The sequence below is a fragment of the Homo sapiens genome, chromosome 20 (genome assembly GCF_000001405.40).
Source record: "Homo sapiens chromosome 20, GRCh38.p14 Primary Assembly".
Lineage (NCBI taxonomy): Eukaryota > Metazoa > Chordata > Mammalia > Primates > Hominidae > Homo > Homo sapiens.
Window position 1 is genome coordinate 44,998,863 of NC_000020.11, and position 20,987 is coordinate 45,019,849.

Consider the following 20,987-nt stretch of genomic DNA (forward strand, 5'->3'; position numbering starts at 1 on the left):
GAGTTTGAGACCAGCCTGGCCAACATGGTGAATCCCCATCTCTACTAAAACAATACAAAAATGAGCTGGGCGTGGTGGCGCATGCCTGTAATCCCAGCAGGAGGCTGAGGCAGGAGAAGCACTTGAACCCGGGAGGCAGAGGTTACAGTGAGCTGAGATTGTGCCACTGCACTCCAGTCTGGGCAACAGAGCAAGACTCCATCTCAAAAAAAAAAAACAAAGAAAAGGAAAAGAAAATCAGAAACTACGCCATTTAAGAAATACAGTAAAAAGAATGAGTGGACACTAGCATGAAACTGATGTTAAATAATAACAGGCCAGATTTATTTGTCTCTTATTACAGAAGGTGGGATATGATCTTACAGATTTTCTAAGTGGAAAGAACAAGGCAATATGATATTATTGCAAATGAGCTGGGTCTTATTTCTAAGTGGATTGCCAAATTCTTTTTCTACCTGGATGGGGTAGTGACAAAATGTTACGGAAATGTATCTCCTGTGTTGCATTCTGACCACATTTTGAGGTATACTGTCCATCTCTGGAGTTCTTACTTGGAACTTGTATCCTTTGACGGGTGATGGAGAACAGAGAATGGATTGCCAAGAAACAATGGGGACAATATTGGAGTAAGTTTGGAAGACAACAGGCAATTCCCCAAAAAGAATTTCCATATGTAACTTTCACAGCATAGATTTCTTATCACGTGCTACAAATACAAACAATAAAAACATATGATGGTATTAATATTAAAAACTTATAAAGCAAATTTTATTAATGAAATTCAGCAATACCCCTTTGTTTCAAGTATCTTTGGTGATTGAATAATATTTGGGTCAAAATCTGTTACATATATATGATCAGTTTTAGTATGTCTGCAGCAACTGCATTTTTGCACTAAAATCCTTTTTACCTAAATGTGTAGTTGGAAATGCTACCATAGAAAGAACAAGTCAGATGAGTAGATTTTTCAGTGATTTCTAAATAATTTCTTTATTCCATTAAGCTCCCCTCTCTAAAATCACCTCCCAAATCACTGGCCTTTTTGCATATCTCTTGAAAACATTTTTTTAGTATTATCTACTAAGGTGTATACACACCCTGAGACATTTGAAAAATGTGCAGAATCTGCCACAGTTCATGGTCGTACAGGACAGTTCTGTACTTTGCAAAATTGCTAATGTCCCATGCCATTTGTGCTCACCAAACATTGTGGCAGCTATAACATGTTCCCAACATGTTTACACAAGTTCCTCCAGGAGATGATACTCCCTATTGAGAATCGCTAGATTTGACAGAGAGAAATGGCATAGGCATTTCAGCCAGGCTGAAAAAGATAGGCAAAGACTGAATTTGCTCTACTCAGAGTTATAAAGCGAGTGTGGTTTAGCTGTTGTCCGAAGCACAAAGAGAAAGATCAGATTCGTTGATTGATTCAACACATGTTATCCAGTACCTACTGTGTTCCAGGTACTGTTTTGGCACTGTCACCATATAAACTGTCTCCAGTATTTTCTACTTTGTTCTTTTAGCACCCATTTGTCAGGAGTGCCAAAGGAGTGTCAATACTGCGAGACTTAATTAATGAAGCCATGGATGTGAAACTGAAACGCCAGGAATCCCAGCAGCGGGAAGTGGACCAGGACGATGAAGAAAACTCAGTGAGTGGCAGCCGTTGCTGTGGGCCTCAGACATTGATGCTTGTTATTTTATGATTGCCAAACCAGGTAAGATGAGTAGGAGGTATTGGATCAACTTGGAGCTGGAGATGCTTCCAGCATAACTATGTCCTAACCTGGATCAACGCATGCTAGAGGGTTGTTGTATCTGTGCTTATTCTTCTCCCAGTGCTTCCTAAAACACTTTTAAATTTTACTCTTTGCCCCTCTTTTACTCAATTTAACTTTTTATTTTAGAGAGAGAATGCTCAGGTCTGGGACTTGGCTTTTCATATCCTTTTGGGGAATCTGGGATCCATACTTAACATGTAGCTTTTACATTTATAGACTTCTTCACAACCCTGAGATTCCAAAGATGTTCACATGAGTTTCTTAGATCTATGTCACAAAACTCTATTAAGAAGAGTAGAGGAAGAATTCCTTTAGGGTTAGATACACTGCTTATTATCACGTGGATAAATTTGTCTTCTTTGCTTAAGTAACAGCGCTTTCATTTCTGGAAGGTGAGTTTAGGACCTGAATAAGTGTTAAATCTCGAAATATTTTCACTAAGACAGGTAGTAGTTATTCAGAAAACTCAAAGTCTTTTGTCAAATTAGCCCCAATTTGAGATTGTATCCTTTTACAGGAAGAGGATGAAATGGATTCTGGCACGATGGTTCGAGCAGTGGGTGATGAGATGGGCACTGTCCGAGTAGCCAGCACCATGACTGATGGAGCCAATACTATGATTGAGCACGATGACACGTTGCCATCACAACTGGGCACCATGGTGATCAATGCAGAGGATGAGGAAGAGGAAGGAACTATGAAAAGTAAGGCTCTGAGTAAATTCACTGACTTCTTAGACCAAGCATACATATTTCAGAGAAGACAGATTCTCATGGTTCATGCAGGCTTAGCCTTGGGTTCTTTCTTTTGTCACAACCAAAGGAGTAGAAAACTTGGAAGTTTGCGATGGGGACAGGAGGTTTGGTGAGGGGGAAAGCTGGCCTGTGGAGTCAAAGTCAAGAAAGCATCAACAGTGAGAAAGAATTTTGCTTTTGAACCAGAGCAGCCATTTTCTCATTGAATGTTGTTATTATTTTCCTTCCTTACCTTGATCTTTGGAGGCAAGCACATGCATTGTTTGATGCATAATTCCTGTGAAGGTGTAATGACATTCTGAGTTATTTACTGTACATACATCTTCAGTTTATTTTCATGACAGTTTGGGTCTAACCCAAGTTTACCAATACTGTCAGTCAATGAAAGATGACTGTACAAGTTGAAAAGTTCTATCCAGTTTCTTCTAGTTTAAACTCATCTCTGCTTCTGTCCGTATCTGGCTGATCCTTTTTTGCCTGTGACTAGGCCTAACATCTTGTGTTCAGCTCCTATCTTAGAGTGAAATTCTTGTGTCATTCAGTGCTCGTGGTGCTTTATGTTTCATCCCCTAAACTCAAGATTAAGGCACTGTAGAAATCCCATGTTTGATGATGTACAAATTATCAACTAAATGCCATGTACTAGATTGCCCTTCTCCTCCCCTCCTGTTTTAAAAGTAGCCAGTATGATTTGTTAGTAATGTTCATTTTGCAGTAATGAGCTACTGACCTCTAGTTATTTTCATTGACTCTGAGTACTAAATTGTCTACTTGTCTTAAGGGGTTTAATTATGTAGATGATTATAACCGCTGTGTAATACAACTAGGCCAACCTGTTAGTATGTGTTGTACATGCACGTGTTAGGGAAATTGTGCCCATTTTTATTTAAAGAATTAATTTTTTTCCAAATGTGATTTTCATAATTCAAATGCTAATTCAATGAGTTGTTTATTCTTTTCAGTTTCTGAACTTGTTTTCAGAACTGGATAGTTTTAGCATGTCTAATGAGAAACATGCATCTTTTATTATAATCATGAAGAGAACTGTTTAAAAACCTAAGCAGTCACAGTCTGAGTAACATTAAATACAATTTGTTCACAGACAGTCTGTTGCAGATTTTGTAATTCTCCCTTTTGGATTACAGATTTGACAGATTTGCCACTTATTTTGAGATTTTTAAAAATTCCTTATTGTTTTAGGAGTTACTTAAATTTATCATTATGGAAAATTAAAACATACATACAATTACACAGAATAATATAATGACCCCTATAGACCTATATCACTCAGCTTCAGCAATGATCAACTCACTGCCCGTCTTATTTCAGCCCCACCTCACCAAAAAGCAATTAGTAAACACTTTGTAAAAGTATTCATTTTTAAGGCCATGAAAAGCAGTGAGAGGAGTAAGGGGTAAAAAAGATTCTTAAGGTAATGCAGGCTTCAAAGTCCTGATTTATAGGACATGCTATGACATCAGTGGTATTTTGGGCAAGATTTTTTTTTTTTTCTGATAATAACTCTAGAAAATAGTAAAATGAATTAATTCAAAGTAAATCTGAGTCATCATACCATTTCTTTATAATTGATTTTAAGTATTTATTTAAGTTATTATTTTTTTAACAGATAGGGTCTTGTTCTTGCCCAGGTTAGCGTACAGTAGGTATGATCAGCTCACTGTAACCTTGATCTCCTGGGCTCAAACTATCCTCCCACCTCAGTCTCCCAAGTAGCTGGGAGTATGTATAGGTGTGTCCAGCTAATTTTTAAATTTTTTGTAGAGACAGGGTCTTGCTATGATGCCCAGGCTGGTTTTGGGCTCCTGGTCTTAAGTGATCATCCTGCCTTGGCCTCCCAAAGTGCTGGAATTAGAGGTGTGAGCCACCTCTCCTGGCCTGATTTAATATTTAATATTGGACCAGGTACAAGCCTGGGGCTCAGATACTGATCTATGTGGTGTTAGATAATTCACTTTCCTCCTATGGGTCTCAGTGCCCTAATCAGTAAAATTAAATTATTACTAAACTTGTTTATTTTCATTGTCCCTTATTCCTCTAATAGTCAACACATTTATAAAAATTGTGTAATTCATGACTTGCAGAACTGAAATTTCTAGAGGTTAAAATTTGTGAAAATGGATAGACTTTCATTTAGTTCCTTATTTGAACCTCTATGAAATGTTTATCCTTGGAAATTAAAATTATAAATGTTAAGGGAGGCTATGCATGTGTGGCAGGGAGTATATGGGATATGGGAACCCTCCTTTCCTTCCTCTCAGTTTTGCTGTGAACCTAAAACGTCTCTAAATTTTTTTTTTTTTTTTTTTTGGAGACGGAGTCTCACTCTGTCGCCCAGGCTTGGAGTGCAGTGGTGCGATCTTGGCTCACAGCAACCTCCACCTCCCGGGTTCAAGTGATTCTCCTGTCTCAGCCTCCCGAGTAGCTGCGACTACAGGCGTGTGCTGCCACACCTGGCTACTTTTTTTGTATTTTTAGTAGAGATGGGGTTTCACCATGTTGGCCAGGCTGGTCTCAAACTCCTGATCTCACATGATCTGCCCACTTCAGCCTCCCAAAGTGTTGGAATTACAGGTTGAGTCACTGTTCCCGGCCTCTAAAAATGTCTTTAAAAAAATGATAACTGTTGGTTAGTCCGAGTGCAGTGGTGTTTACAACTAATTGATCACAACCAGTTTTTTCTTTTTTTTTGAGACGGAGTCTTGCTCTTTCGCCCAGGCTGGAGTGCAGTGGTGTGATCTTGGCTCATTGCAACCTCTGCCTTCTGAGTTCAAGTGATTCTCCTGCCTCAGCTTCCTGTGTAGCTGGGATTACAGGCGTGTGCCACCATGCCTGGCTAATTTTTGTATTTTTAGTAGAGATGGGGTTTCACCATGTTGGCCAGGCTGGTCTTGAACTCTTGACCTCAAGTGATTCCCCCATCTTGGCCTCCCCGAGTGCTGGGATTAAAAGTCATGAGCCACTGCGCCCGGCCACAACCAATTTTTTCTTTGTTTTTCTCCACTCCCACTGTTTCACTTGACTAGCCTTAAAAATAAAAATAAAAAAAAAATAATCTTTTAAGAAATGCCTGTTCATGTCCTTTGCCTAATTTTTCATGGTTTTTTTTTTCTTGTAAATTTGTGTAAGTTCCTTGTAGATTCTGGATATTAGACCTTTGTCAGACGGGTAGATTGCAAAAGTTTTCTCCCATTCTGTAGGTTGTCTGTTCACTCTGATGATAGTTTCTTTTGCTGTGCAGAGACTCTTTAGTTTAATTAGATTCCGTTTGTCAATTTTTGCTTTTGTTGCAATTGCTTTTGATATTTTTGTCATGAAATCCTTTTTTTCTCCTTTTTTTTTTTCTTTTTTCTTTTTTTTTTTTGAGACGGAGTCTTGCCCTGTTGCCCAGGCTGGAATGCAGTGGTGCGATCTTGGCTCACTGCAACCTCCGCCTCCCAGGTTCAAGCGATTCTCCTGCCCCAGCCTCCCAAGTAGCTGGGATTACAGGTGCATGCCACTACACTCAGCCAATTTTTTTTTGTATTTTTAGTAGAGACAGGGTTTCACTATGTTGGTCAGGCTGGTCTCAAACTCTTGACCTCGTAATCCGCCCGCCTTGGCCTCCCAAAGTGCTGGGATTACAGGCATGAGCCACCGCGCCCAGCCTCCTTTCTTTCCTTCTGTTGGATTGATTGAGTCCTCACCGCCATCACTTCCTTTCCCTTACCTTAATCCCCTCTCTCCACTCTCTTCTACCAACTGGCAAAGTGTATGCATAAGTATATGCTTACTTAAATTTCTACTTTCCTAATAAATTTCAAAGTTAATCAGTATCTCTCTCCTCTTCCTGAATAAGAAAAAGGATTTAAGACACTTCGCCTTTTTTTCAAACTGCCTCTCTCATATTTTGTTATTGTTGTCTATTGCTTTGGTTCACCAGGTTTTTAAAAAACATTAGCAGCTGGGCGCTGTGGCTCACGCCTGTAATCCCAGCACTTTGGGAGGCCGAGGCAGGCGGATCACGAGGTCAGGAGATCGAGACCATCCTGGCTAACATGGTGAAACCCCGTCTCTACTAAACAAAATACAAAATATTAGCCGGGCATGGTGGCAGGCGCCTATAGTCCTAGCTACTCGGGAGGCTAAGGCAGGAGAGTGGCGTGAACCTGGGAGGCGGAGGTTGCAGTGAACCGAGATCGCGCCACTGCACTCCAGCCTGGGCAACAGAGCGAGACTCTGTCTCAAAAAAAAAAAAAAAAAAAACAAAACGTTAGCTACTATAATCATTATTTAGAGTCAATACAATTTATGAACATAGTGAGCTACTAATATGTTTGCTTACCTTTGCTTCTTTAAGCTTATACTTTATCTTATGGGCTCATTTTTCTTCTCCTTTCAGTAGGATGTAATGGGTAGCAAACTTTTATAATTTGTATGGTTAATAAAAGTCTTAATTTTTTTCTCTTTTTTGAATATAGTTTACTGAGGCATGGATTTCTAAGTGGACTCTTATTTTCTCTTTGTACTTTGAAGAGATCATTTTGATATTTTCTGGTATCTGTTGATGGTGATGGAAATTCTGTTGTCAATATTGTTCTTTTCTAGATGATTTACTTTTTTCTCTTTTTTTCATTTTCCTGAATATTTTCTGTTTTAACTTATTGTCTCTATGTTGGATTTTTTTTTTCCTTCTAATTCTGCTTCTTCTGGCTCTGTACTTTTCAATCTAAGGACCCAGGACTTTATTCAGTTTTAGAAAATTCTCTTTGGTTTCTCTATTATTATTATTTTTTCTAGGATTTCTTTTTCTCCTTTTTTATTTTATTTTTGTTTCATTTTGTTTCGGATGTATTTATTTATTTATTTATTTATTTATTCCCAGAAATGTGGTCTTGCTATGTTGTCCAGGCAGGTCTTGAACTCCTGGGCTCGTCATCCTCCTACCTCAGTCTCCCAAGCAGCTGGGACTACAGGTGCATACGACTGCTCCGGGCTTGTCTTACAGATTTTTTTCTGTTTATCTCTTTGAACATTTCAATTTCCCTTTAAAAAAAAACTTTCAGATCCTGCTATTATTTTGTGTTTTTTGGGTCTAATTTTTCTGTTTATTGTGTTTGTTATCTCTCATATTGTTACATTTCTTCTTACACTTTGTAAATTTTGTTTTTGAGCTTATGTTTGGTGAGAATTATCTTGCTCGGAGGTCCTTTGTATTCCTTGGGTTGTACAGGCATCCCTAGGGCCCTATGGGGTATTTCTTTCTAGAGCAGTCTTTAGATTATTTCTCAGTTCCACATTGGACTTGTGGTACAGCCAAGGGAATTGTATTTCTAGAAGTTGATTTTTTCCACCTCTTACCTACCGAAGCAGAAGCCATTTTTAAGCCATCTTCTTAAGCTTCTGGGCAGTATTGTCCTGGCTCCTATCTTTATGCTGGGAATTGAGTTCTGGCTTCCCCTTTAACAGGTATGTCTTGCCTTCTGCCTTATCCTGATTGCTATTTGCACATCTGCCTTAAAGCTAAAGTCCTTGTGATTTGGTTTTCCCAGTAGGCCACTCGGCTCAGTGCTGTGGGTTTCTTTCCCGCTTTTGGCATCTGGAAGTTTTCGTTTTCTGGTTCTGAGCGCTATGGGTTGTTTTTTGTTTGTTTGTTTGTTTGTTTTTTAAGTCTTGAGTTTCTGTTTGTTTATAACAGGAGGGGAGGCCTTAGCACTTCAGCTCATTCCGTTATCTTAACTGTCTACAGAGATGATGTTTCTCCACTTTCTCTATAAAGGAACAGGTTCAGAGAGATTGAGATTGTTGCTTGTTCATGGTCACATGGCTAGTAAGTGGTGGAGCTGGAAATTGAAAGCACTTCAGAGTTGGCTGGACGCAGTAGCTCACGCCTGTAATCCCAGCACTTTGGGAGGCCATGGCGGGCAGATCACAAGGTCAGAAGATCGAGACCAGCCTGGCCAATATGGTGAAACCCCATCTTAAGAATACAAAAATTAGCTGGGCATGGTGGCGGGCGCCTGTAGTCCCAGCTACTCGGAAGGCTGAGGCAGGAGAATAGCTTGAACCCAGGAGGTGGAGGTTGCAGTGAGCCGAAATCGCGCCACTGCACTCCAGCCCGGGTGACAGAGCGAGACTCCATCTCAAAAAACAAACAAACAAAAAAAAGAAAGCACTTCAGAGTCTATGCTCTCTTCATTCCACAGAGCTTCTGATTTGTTTTGGTTGCCTATTATATTCATAGGCGTTAGATCCATAATAGAAAACTCATCATAGTTATGGTGATTCTGGTGCTGTCTTTCACTGAGAATCCAGGGATGGCTTTTGTTTGTTCGAAACAATTGTTTATTCATTTATTTATTTAAAAAATTTCAACTTTTATTTTACATACAGGGGGTACATGTGCAGGTTTGATGCATAAATATATTATACCCAGGTAATGAGCATAGGACCCAGTAGCTAGTTTTTCGACCCATGGTCCCCTTTCTCCCTCTCACCTCTAGTAGTCTGCAATGTCTGTTATTCTCATGTTTATATCCATGTGTGCTCAGTGTTTAGCTCCCACTAAGTGAACACATGCGGTATTTGGTTTTCTGTTTTTGTGTTAGTTTGCTTAGAATTATGGCCTCCAGCTCCATCCATGTTGCTGCAAAGGACATAATTGCATTTTTTTAACGGAGTCTTGCTCTGTCGCCCAGGCTGGAGTGCGTTGGCACGACCTCGACTCACTGCAACCTCTGCCTCCCAGGTTCAAGCAATTCTCCTGCCTCAGCCTCCTGAGTAGCTGGGATTACAGGCATGTACCACCACACCAGGCTAATTTTTGTATTTTTAGTAGAGACAGGGTTTCACCATGTCGTCCAGGCTGGTCTCGAACTCCTGACCTCAAATGATCCACCCGCCATGGCCTCCCAAAGTGCTGGGATTACAGGCGTTAGCCACTGCGCCTGGCCTAATTGCATTCTTTTTTTATGGCTGCTTACACGGATGGTTGCGTAGTATTCCATGGCGTATATGTATCATATTTTCTTTATCCAGTCCACTATTGATGGGCACCTAGGTTGATTCCATATCTTCGCTATTGTGAATAGTGTGGTGGTCAACTCATCGTATGAATGCATGTGCATTTTTGGTAAAATGATTTATTTTCCTTTGGGTATATAGCCAGTAATGGGATTGGTGTTTTAAGTTCTTTGAGAAATTAGCAAACTGCTTTTTACAGTGGCTGAACTAACTTACATTCCTACCAACAGTATATAACCATTCCCTTTTCTCCATAGCCTCACCAGCATCTGTTGTTTTCTGACCTTTTTTTTAGTAATAGCCATTCTTACTGGTATGAGATATCTCATTGTGGTTTGGATTTGGATTTCTCTGATGATTAGTGATGCTGAACATTTTTTCATGTATTTGTTAGCCACTTGTATGTCTTCTTTTGAGAAGTGTCTGTTCATGTCCTTTGCCCATTTTTTAATGGAATTGTTTTTTGCTTGTTGATTTGTGTAAATTTTTTTTTTATAGATTCTGGATATTAGACCTTTGTTGAATGTATAGTTTGTGAATATTTTCTCCCTTTCTGTAGGTTGTTTACACTGTTGATAGTTTCTTTTGCTGTTGTGCAGAAGCTCTTTAGTTTAATTAGGTCCCACTTGTCAATTTTTGCTTTTGTTGCCATTCCTTTTGAGGACTTGGCCAAAAACTTTCTGCCAAGGCCAATGTTGTGAAGGGTATCGCCTAGGTTTTCTTTTTGGATTTTTATAGTTTGAGGTCTTACATTTAAATCTTTAATCCATCTTCACTTAATTTTTATATATGGTGAAAGATAAGGATCCACTTTCAATCTTCTTAATATGGCTAGTCAGTTATGCCAGTACCATTTATTAAATAGGGTGTCCTTTACCCATTGCTTGTTTTTGTTGGCCTTGTCGAAGATTAGCTGGTTGTAGGTGTGCAGGTTTATTTCTGAGTTTCCTATTCTGTTCCATTGGTCTATGTGTCTGTTGTTGTACCAGTACAAGAACAGCATTCTGGTTACTATAGTCTTATAGTTTGAAGTCAGGTAGTGCACTGCCTCTGGCTTTGTTCTTTTTGCTTAGGATTGCTTTGGCTATTTGGGCTCTTTTTGGTTCCATATAAATTTTAGAATAGTTTTTTCTAGTTCCGTGAAGAATGTCATTGGCAATTTTATAGGAATAGTATGGAATCTGTAAATTGCTTCGGAGAGTATATACATTTTAATTATATTGATTCTTCCTATCCGTGAGCATACAATGTTTTTCCATTTATTTGTGTTGTCTCTGATTTCTTTCAGCAGTGTTTTGTAGTTCTCCTAGAGATCCTTCACTTCCTTGGTTACCTGTATTCTTAGATATTTCATTTTCTTTGTGGCTGTTGTAAGTAGGATTGTGTTCTTGATTTCACTCTCAGCCTGGCCATTGTTTGTGTATAGAAATGCTACTGATTTTTGTACATTTTTTTATCCTGAAACTTTACTAAATGTGCTTATCAATTCTAGTAGCCTTTTGACAGAGTCTTTAGGATTTTCTAGGTATAGAATCATATTGTCAGTAAAGAGAGATAGTTTGACTTCTTCTTTTCCTATTTGAGTGCATTTTATTTCTTTCTTTTGCCTGGTTGTTCTGGCTAGGACTTCCCAATTATTTATTTGTTTATTTATTTTTTTCTGAAACGGAGTCTTGCTCTGTTGCCCAGGCTGGAGTGCAGTGGTGCGATCTCGGCTTATTGCGACCCCTGCCTCCTGGGTTCAAGCAATTCTCCTGTCTCAGCCTCCTGAGATTGGGATTACAGGTGCATGCCACCACACCTGGCTAATTTTTATGTTTTTAGTAGAGATGGGGTTTCACCATATTGGGCAGGCTGGTCTCCAACTCCTGACCTTGTGATCCGCCTGCCTCTGCCTCCCAAAGTGCTGGGATTACAGTCGTGAGCCACCGCGCCCGGCCTCCCAATTATTTATTATATGTAACTTATGTGTTATACTCAATAGGATAGATGTTATAACTGCTAATAATAATTATTAGTGATTAGGCACTTAATATATACCACACACTGTGATTTATCCTTTAAGCATTTCACATATTTTGATCATTACAACCATGCTGTGTGGTAAATTGAACCATTCCCTGTTTAATAGCAGTTGAAACCCAGTTGCAGAGATTAAGTAACATACTTGTGATTATATAATGAGTAATAGAGAAGCCAAGATTTGAACCCAGATATGTTTGATTTCAGTGGTTATGTTCTGAATCATTAGATTATACTACTTCTAGCAGAGCCCCTTTATCAAGTGTTGGGAGCTGGGACTAAGGCTTATGTTACAGATCATGTGTTGGTGAGTCTCAGCTTGTAGTAATGTACTTCTCCTTGCTGGTTATTTTGATAACCAGTTACTCTACATATGTCCTCAGTATTTCCAGAAAGAAAGGACAGATGGTTTTCAAAGGGAGCATGCCTCTGATAAGCTAATGATATTGTTACCTCTGAGGGAATTTGTTTTGGATGTATGTATCTGAATCTATAGGAAGGAGTCAGATTGCAGTTGGAGAGAAGGGATTAAGGTGGGATTTGATTGATTTTAAGTGGCCTCAAGCATACATGTGAGAACGAAAGAGGCAAACCATGGTCCACGTTACTTGGAAAACCTCTGTCTGGATAAAATATTAGATTGGGGATTTTGGAAGGCTTCTTCTATTTGTCTAGATATGTTCTTGTTTTTGTTGTTGTTTTTGTTTTTGAATAAGGGCTCTAGAATAGCCTTGTTTACCTCCCCAAACAGCAGGACACATTATTGAAGTGACATGAGAGGGTCTGTGTCAGTGTTAGGATCATTGTGCATTCTCTGGGCCAGCAGAGGGAGCTCTGTATTAAGTTAATGGGTTATAATCGTGTTCCCATTTGAGTTCACAAATCCCCTTTATATAAAAGTAGCCTTTATGCTAGAACAAGACCATTACTTATTCATTCTTAAGTGTATTTTAAGTAACCGCAGTGACACTAGGGCAATGTCTTTATTTTATTTAGTTGGGAGATTGGATACCTCATACTTGGCAAAGTTCAAATAAGAAGTCAGCCAAAACATCTCAAAATAGTCACTTTTTCTCTCCCTTCCCAGATTTCTCAGTGGACTTGACACAATTGGTGTTCTTTTTCTGTAGCATGGTACCATGCATATAGTTTTTAAACTGTAATCAGCTAAAATGGCCTTACTTGAATAACTGAATAAATTTTTTAAAAAACCTAATAATTCTTGTGTAGAACTGATTTGAAAGTTCTTGTGTAGAACATACATATATATATATATATATATATTTTTTTTTTTTTTTTTAAGTCAAGTTGTTGGGAGCCAGGACTAAGGCTTATGTTACAGTAAATAACAGTAAAAATATATATATTCCTGATATAGATCAGGAATTTGTTTTTGTTTACAATATGAGCTCTAGTAGTCTGTTTTATTTTTCCATCTGAAAGACTTGCTTCCTCCCTCTATCCAGGTCTTTGATCCTGTCACCTTCTCAGTCCTTCTTTGACTATTTGTCTGCAATAGATTTCCCATCCCCTTATTTTTCTTTTCATCACAGATTACTTCTTGAAATTTATATCACTCTTCTCCGATACAAATTTTTTTTTTTTTTTGAGATGGAGTCTTGCTCTGTCACCAGGCTAGAGTGCAGTGGCGCGATCTCAGCTCACTGCAACCTCTGCCTCCTGGGTTCAAGCAATTCCCCTGTCTCAACTTCCCAAGTAACTGGGACTACAGGCACGCACCACCACACCTGGCTAATGGTTTGTATTTTAGTAGAGATAGGGTTTCACTGTTTTGGCCAGGATGGTCTCGATCTCCTGACCTCGTGATCCGTCCACCTCAGCCTCCCAAAGTGCTGGGATTACAGGCGTGAGCCACTGCACCCGGCCTCTCCCATATAAATTTTAGGATCAGTATATCAAATTTTATAAAATACTACTGGAATTTTGACTTAATTGCATTGGATACACAGATTAATTAGGCAGAATTGCCATCTCTGTGTTAATTCTTTCTATGCATGAACATGGTTTATCTTTCAATCTGTTTGGTCTATCTTTTATATTCTTAGATAATTTTATAATTGTACCAACAAAGATGTTTTAGAGCTTTTTGTTAAATCTATTTTTAGATACTTATTTGTTGCTATTACAAATGGCATAGTTTAAAAAACTTTTGTTTCTAACATTTTTCTTCTATAGACAACTACTGTAGATATTTATGGACTGTTTTATTCATTGTAACAGGTTTTATGGAGATTGCCTTTTTAAAAAAATGGAGACAGTCTTATTGTCTATGAATTATGATTATAGTTTTTCCTTTTGATCTTTATATATAATCTTCTTCTTCTTCTTCTTCTTTTTTTTTTTTTTGAGGCACTGTCTCACTCTGGAATGCAGTGGCGCGATCCTAGCTCACTGCAGCCTTGAATTCCTGGGGCCAAGCAATCCTCCTGCCTCAGCCACCTGAGTAGCTGGGACCACAGGCATGTGCCACCACACCTGTGATTTTTTTTTTTTTTTTTTTTTTTTTTTTTTTATAGAGATGGGATCTCCCTGTGTTGCCCAGGCTGGTCTGGAACTCCTGGGTGCAGGTAATCCTCCTTCCTCAACCTCCCAAAGTACTGGGATTACAAGTGTGAACCACCAAGCCTGGCCAAGGTTTTTTTCTTATTAAGACCTCCAATACAGTGTTGCATAGTAGAGCTGGTAGTGGACATTCTTGTCTTGTTGCTCACTTTAAAGAAAATTCTTGGGATTTTTTACCATGGAGTCTGATTTTGCAGCAGAATTTGGTCGATACCCCTTAACAGGCTAAATAAGTTTTGGTTTATTTTTAGTTTAAGAGGTTTTATTTAAAAAAAATTCTTTAATTAATGTTGTTTTGTCTTTTTTTAATTTGAATAGTTAGCTTTTTAATTTTCTTGCTTACTAATACATTTAATCAACATTGTAACTTTTTCTCTTAGTTCTGTTTTAGCTGTATTCCATACATTTTCATATGTGGTATATTGTAAATATTTTTTTCCAGTGTGTAGTGCTTGTGCTATACACATTTATTTTTTAACCCATGAGTTATTCGGAAGTGTTTTTTAATAGCAAATGTATGATTTTTAAAAACTGCTTATTTAAAATTTTTAATTTATAGAATTGTGGTTGAAGAGTGTGGTCTGTTATATCAATTCTTTGTTATTTTTTGAGACATTGTGGCCTAACATGTTATTAATTTTCATTAAATGTGCTTTGTGTGTCTTAAAAATAATGTATTTTCTAATTGTTTGGTGCAGGAATCTGTAATTAGCAATCAGTTGCTAATTGTCTTTCATTTGTCTATCTTTACCAATTTTTGATACTTGATCTTTTAGCTTCTGGAGATTTGTTAAAATTGTTAAATTGTTAAAATTGTCACTGTGTGGTTGTGGGTTTTGTTAATTTTGGTATTACTCACATATGTCATCCAAAATAATATACTGGTGGCACTGAATACAATTGGTAGTACTGTGAAAATGATGGAATTTTTTGCATATTTTCTCTTTTATATTAAATTATATATTTTCTCTTTCTTTTATCTTAATATGCAGAAGAATAGTTTCACCATTATCCGTTTTCAAGCAACCATTTTTTTAAAGCAGAAGAATTTCTTCTGTTTTATTTGATCATTATGAAATAGGGTGTTAATATTTAGAGCTAAAATGAAAACGGTCCAGGATGTGGTGGCTCATGCCTGTAATCTCAGCACTTTGGGAGGCCGAGGTGGGTGGATCACTTGAGGTCAGGAGTTCGAGACCAGCCTGACCAGCATGGCGAAACCCCATCTCTACTAAAAATACAAAAAATCAGCTGGGTGTAGTGGGGCGTGCCTGTAATCCCAGCTACTAAGGAAGCTGGGGAAGGAGAATCTCTTGAAACCGGGAGGCGGAGATTGCAGTGGGCCAAGATCGTACCACTACACTCCAGCCTGGGTGACAGAGCAAGACTGTCTCAAAATAAAATAAAATAAAATAAAATGGAAAGGATTAATTTTATACTTGATGTAGAAAGAATCCAAGCTTTCACAACATTATTAAATATTTAAAAAGTATATATTTGAAAGCAAAAAAATATTTTTTTTTTAGTGGCAAAGATAACAAAAACATTTTGGAGCAACTGAAGTAGCTTGATTTGCACAGACTTGTAGTTTAGCAGTTAAATGCTTTTGCCCCTCATGAGGAAATGACAAGCCAAAGGATGGCCACTTGCAGTAACATGTACTCATCCACTAAAGATTTGACATGCGGCGGTTCTTCCTCTCAGGATTCATTGGCGATAATGTCATGGTTTTCTTGTCCTTACCACATTCCCAAGAGATGCATAGCCCTGGTCACCCCTCCTCATCTCCAGGCTTAATAGGTCAATGGGAGGCAGAACTTGGACTACTAATTGAAAGAATGTTTCCCCTGACCAAGCCTTCAAATTAGATTCAGTGAATTGAAGGGAGTGAGATGATGATTCCTCTTTAAAACTTGTACTTAGTGCATAAGATTCTAATTTTTCTCCCAGAGCAACAGCCACATTAATCTCTTTGAAACAGAATTTTAAAGCATAATGACATAATTAAGTTAGGGCAACTAAGAGACATGTTTTAGTTAAATTACTGAGATAGTATTTTGTGGTAAAAACATTATGTGTTTATAGTTCCTCAGAAAGTCCTAAGTTTCATGAAGGCACCTATTGTTGCTGTGAGTTTCCTCATGTTGAAATCAGGTGAAAGGCTAGGCTGTTGTCAAAATGATTTTACTTCAACACCGTCCATCAGATACTGATTTCAGAGCTGCATAAGATAGGAATTCTTGACTCAGAGCCTATTTTCTTTCCATCTGCAGTTTGAAAGGGGTTGTTAGAACATTGTCTCCCTTGTGTGTTATCTGTCTTATTCTCACTGACTCAGATTATGGCATTTGCAAGTACAGTAATTAGGACATAAAGTACTGCAAGTATTTTAACACTTCTTTTACCACGGTAGCCTTACTGTCCAATTTCTGATCCCTTCAGGATTTAAACATCTATCATCAGAGTATTGTGTTGGTGTATGCTTGCCACTCACAGTCAGCATCACATGAGAGTTTCAGACAGCATTAGTCCAGTTATGCACCCCAAAACTAAAGCTGAAAACATTTGATTTTGTTGGAACCCTATCTCTGAGTAAGGGCAAGAGAAGGACAAAGGAGTAGTGGAGTGAACATTGATTTTTAGCATCAGTCTTTGGCTTGAAACTTTGCTCAGGGTCTTACAGACTACGTCACCTTGGTCAGGTTCTTTCTTTTTTGATCCTCAGTTTCCTTGTCTGAAAAAATGGGGCACCAAAGTTCCTATTTTGTAGTTTTGTCAAGATGATATGAGATTGTATGTGTAAAATATTTAATGTGTAAATGCTCAAAAATGGTAGGTATTATAGTAAGTCTTTTAATGTATGAGAGTGTTTTTTTCATTGGACGTAAACATTTCTTCAACAGTGCTACTTTTCTTCTTCCTAATTCCTTTTCTCTTGATACTAACTTTTTACTAACTTTTAGTTTTTGCTCTTGGTATTGATGATGTTTTGTAGGTGCCACCCCAGGAATGCCTGAGTGCTGGCATGAACATGGTTGAGCTAAGGGAAGGTCACTTGTCAGTTTCAGTAACATTTTACCATTGTGCCGAGAAGAGAGAGGGAGGCTCTGTGTGGTTTGTGTCTGTGTGTGTCTGTGTTTTAAATTCCTTGGCAATAAGATGATACATGTTTTGAGAATCTATTAAATAGCCCAGAATACAAGGTGACGGATTTTTAAGAGGGCCAGACTTTAGATACACATGAGCCTTCTTTTGTAAAGTTTCAGCCTCTTATCTTAATACAGTGGAATTTATTACCGACTGGATTTTTTTTCCACCCCCGAAAGATAACCACTGTGGTTCACTGTGCATTTTATCAGTAGCTCCCTCGTGGGTGAGATTTACAATAGAAGAGCAGACATCTTGGTACTTAGGTTTTTCTCACAGTTTCAAAAATAATTCAAGGTTGTCCTGCCAGAGTGGAGACTAAATCCTAATTGTTTGTGCAGTTTTTCTTATTGTATCCAGATGTTGGGCCCCCTTTTATCTTTGGAAACCATTAGCATTCTTGATTCTTTTGGAATGAGCCAAAAAGCACAGAACTCCTGATGCCTGAAAATTCATTCAGAACACCCTGCCAGACCACATTTTAGGATATGAAAGTACCAGATCTCAGTATAACTTGAGTGAAGGGCTCAAGGCCTATATATTTTGAAAGATAGCTACTCCAGTATAGTTATATTGGTAAAAGGAGAGCCAAGAACAGCCATGAGGGAAATACATTTTTCAAGAGAGGGCAGTAGCATAATGGTAATGAAGAACATAGGAAAGTGAATCACAAACAATATACTTTGGTCCTTAAGCCTAAGAGGCAGATAAATCTTTCTTCATCAGTTAGTGGAATATATTATTTCTCTGTTGCTCTAAGCTTGCTGTTCTGACCTTCTTTTGTTCAGCAAGAAAATGGAGATACATTTTTAAATATCAATTTAAGTGGATCTATAAAGAAAAAGCAGATGATTCTTTTCAAATGTTTATGCTCTATAAATATCAATTTGGAATCAGTATTTGTTTATAATGAATATTTAATACCAACCAAGAAGCATTTATTAAATAGTCACTATGTGTCATTAACATGTAGAGTATGAAAACCAAATGAGGCATTCACTGCTTTCAGTAACTTATATATTAAAAGGGGAAGATGACATTTGTCATTATCATTATCTAATACTTATGGCATGTGTACTGTTCTAATTGTTCTAATTCCTTATGTGTATAGAGCATTACTCTAGGCGCTTCAAATAATAGTATTTGATAATGATGCGACGTAGGAGAAAGGACTTCTACATATGAAGGTAATAATATACTAAGACAAATGCTAGGTAAGTGGTACAGGAAAGCGTTAAAGGATTTGTGAAAAGGAAGGCAATGACTCAGATATGCAGGAAGGCTGGGGAAGGATGTTACAGGCAGGTGCAAAGTCAGAAAGGTAGAAATGTGTTTTCATTATTCAGGTTGGCCGAAGCAGATGTGGGTGTTGACTGGATTTTGGAAGACTTTGAATTTGAAAGTAAGGAGTTTGAACCTGATTCTCTTGTTAATAGGGTATCTGAAGACACTTTGACTAGGAAAGTGATAAAATGGAGTTTCAAAAGACTGTAAAAGGTGAGACCAATTAGGAAATTCTTGCAAGAACCAAGATGTGGACCATTCTCACCTGTGAACATTTTTTATCTTTTTAGATGTGCTGCCACTATTGCTCTAGTTAGTAATCCTTTGAATTTTGGATTTAGCTCTCTTTGAATTTATATATTTCAGTTCACCAGAATTAAAACAGCTAGAGCACCATTGCCCAGAAATTAAGTCCATTCATATAGAGGCAGTTACTGAAACTGCTTAACTGGAAGAGTTATTCTGGGCTCCAGGGAACCTTATAACTTATGATTCCAGCAATTCTTAGTGGTTTCAAAGGACATTCAAAGGAATATTTATGGCTGTACACAGCTACTTGGATAGTAACCAGTGTAATTAAATGAGCTGATACATGTAAAGCACTTAGGTGCCTGGTAACAAAAACAAAACCCAAAACCACACACTCATAACAAATGTTAGAAAAAAACAAACCCTGTGATAAGAATTGCACATTAAGGCATACTATTCCAAGCCAGAGGAAAACATTTGCAGGATTACCAGAGTTGTTGTTGTTGTTGTTGTTGTTGTTTTTCCTGCAAACATTCATGCATGAAACAGAGAAAAAAAATCAGGCTCTGCCCAGTTCTCTGGTTTGCACAGAATTAATTACAATTTAAGTAGAAAAGAGTCATTGTAGGAATTAAGGAAACAGTAGGTTGACCATATTGGTTTACTTAGTGACAGTCTGGAAAATGAAGGTTTGAAATTGAAGGTCATGAAGTTTAAGGTCTAGTAGATGGTCATTCCAATGGAACAGTGGGCTTCAGTCTTTGGTCAAGGTCCTTCCCAGTTATGACTACCTAGACATTATGTTGTAGTTCATATGAATCCAGAAATAAGAGCAAATAGTTAAGGAAAGGTGTCTTGCTGCTTAAAAAAAATTGAGTTACTGACATATAATTTACACACCATACAATTTGTTCATTTAAAGTGTACAGTTTAATGGTTTTTAGTTTATTCACAGAGTTGTGCAACCATCACCACAATCTAATTTTTAAAATTCTATCTAATTTTTAAAGTTCTACTTTTTTTTTTTTTTTTTAATTTGGAGACAGGATCTTGGTCTGTTGCCCAGGCTGAAGTGCAGTGGCATGAGCATAGCTTACTGCAGTCTTGAACTGGGCTCAAGTGATCCTTCTGCCTTAGCCTCCTGAATAGTTGGGACTACAGGTGTGCACCACTATGCCCAGCTAATTTAAAAAAAAAATTTTTGTAGAGACAGGGTCTCACTATGTTGCTCAGGCTAGTCTCGAACTCGTGGCCTCAAGCCATCCTCCTGCCTTGGCCACCTGAAGTGCTGGAATTACAGGCATGAGCCACCATGCCTGGCCACTATTTTTAAATTGAGATATAATTTATATGTCATAAAATTTGCCATTTTAAAGCATAGAATTCAGTGTTTTTTTAGGATATTAACAAGGTGTTGCAACTTTAAGCACTATTGAATTCAAGACATTTTTATCATCCCCTCAAAAAACTCTAATCCTGTTAGCAGTCACTTCTCATTTGCCTCTCACCCCCAGGCAACCATTAATCTACTTTCTGTCTCTATAGATTTGCCTGTTTTGGACAGTTTATGTAAATGGAATCATATAACATGTGGCCTTTTGAGAATGGCGTCTTTCATTTTGCATAATGTTTTTGAGGTTTATCCATGTTATAGCATGTATCACTATTTCTTTTTGTTGCTGAATAATATTCCACTGTATGGATACACTGCATTTTGTTTATCTGTTCATCAGCTGATAGACATTTGGGTTGTTGATTCCTTCTGCTTTTACGTAGCATTTTTCAAAGAAAAATAAATGGAAGATACAGTTGCTTATGAATTCACTGCTTTGTCTGTAGGCTTAGACAGATTGTTCATTTAGCTTGACAAATGCTGCTTACAAAGAAAAATAGGCCAGTCTTAGCATAGGAATTCATGCATTTCCGGCATCAGATAAAAGAATCAGAGCAAGATGTGGTATTTTCAAGGCTTGATTTCTCTCTTCAGTCCATTCTTTCTACGGCTTTAGGTTTCTTGTATTATCATTCAGCTGAACATCTTTATTTCTTGGGATACATCTGAAAAAATATGCTAGCTCAAGTTAAAACAAAAAACCCACAAGCTAGCTGAAGCCCTGGGGGACAGCATGGCCTTTAATCA

General features: G+C 37.9%; 1 protein-coding gene across 8 annotated transcripts in view; it reads left to right on the forward strand.

The window, feature by feature from the left end:
* Window positions 1-20,987, forward strand: part of STK4 (serine/threonine kinase 4) — a 113,510-nt gene that overhangs the window by 32,351 nt on the left and 60,172 nt on the right. For 7 of the 8 annotated variants that reach the window (XM_017028031.3, XM_011529018.4, XM_047440425.1 and 4 more), the window contains 2 exons: window positions 1,530-1,658; window positions 2,305-2,491. In XM_017028031.3, coding sequence (XP_016883520.1) covers window positions 1,530-1,658; window positions 2,305-2,491 — 316 coding nt within the window. Of the gene's footprint in view, window positions 1-1,529; window positions 1,659-2,304; window positions 2,492-18,750; window positions 18,812-20,987 lie in introns of all 8 variants that reach the window. The other variant, XM_017028033.2, reaches the window with a different exon arrangement.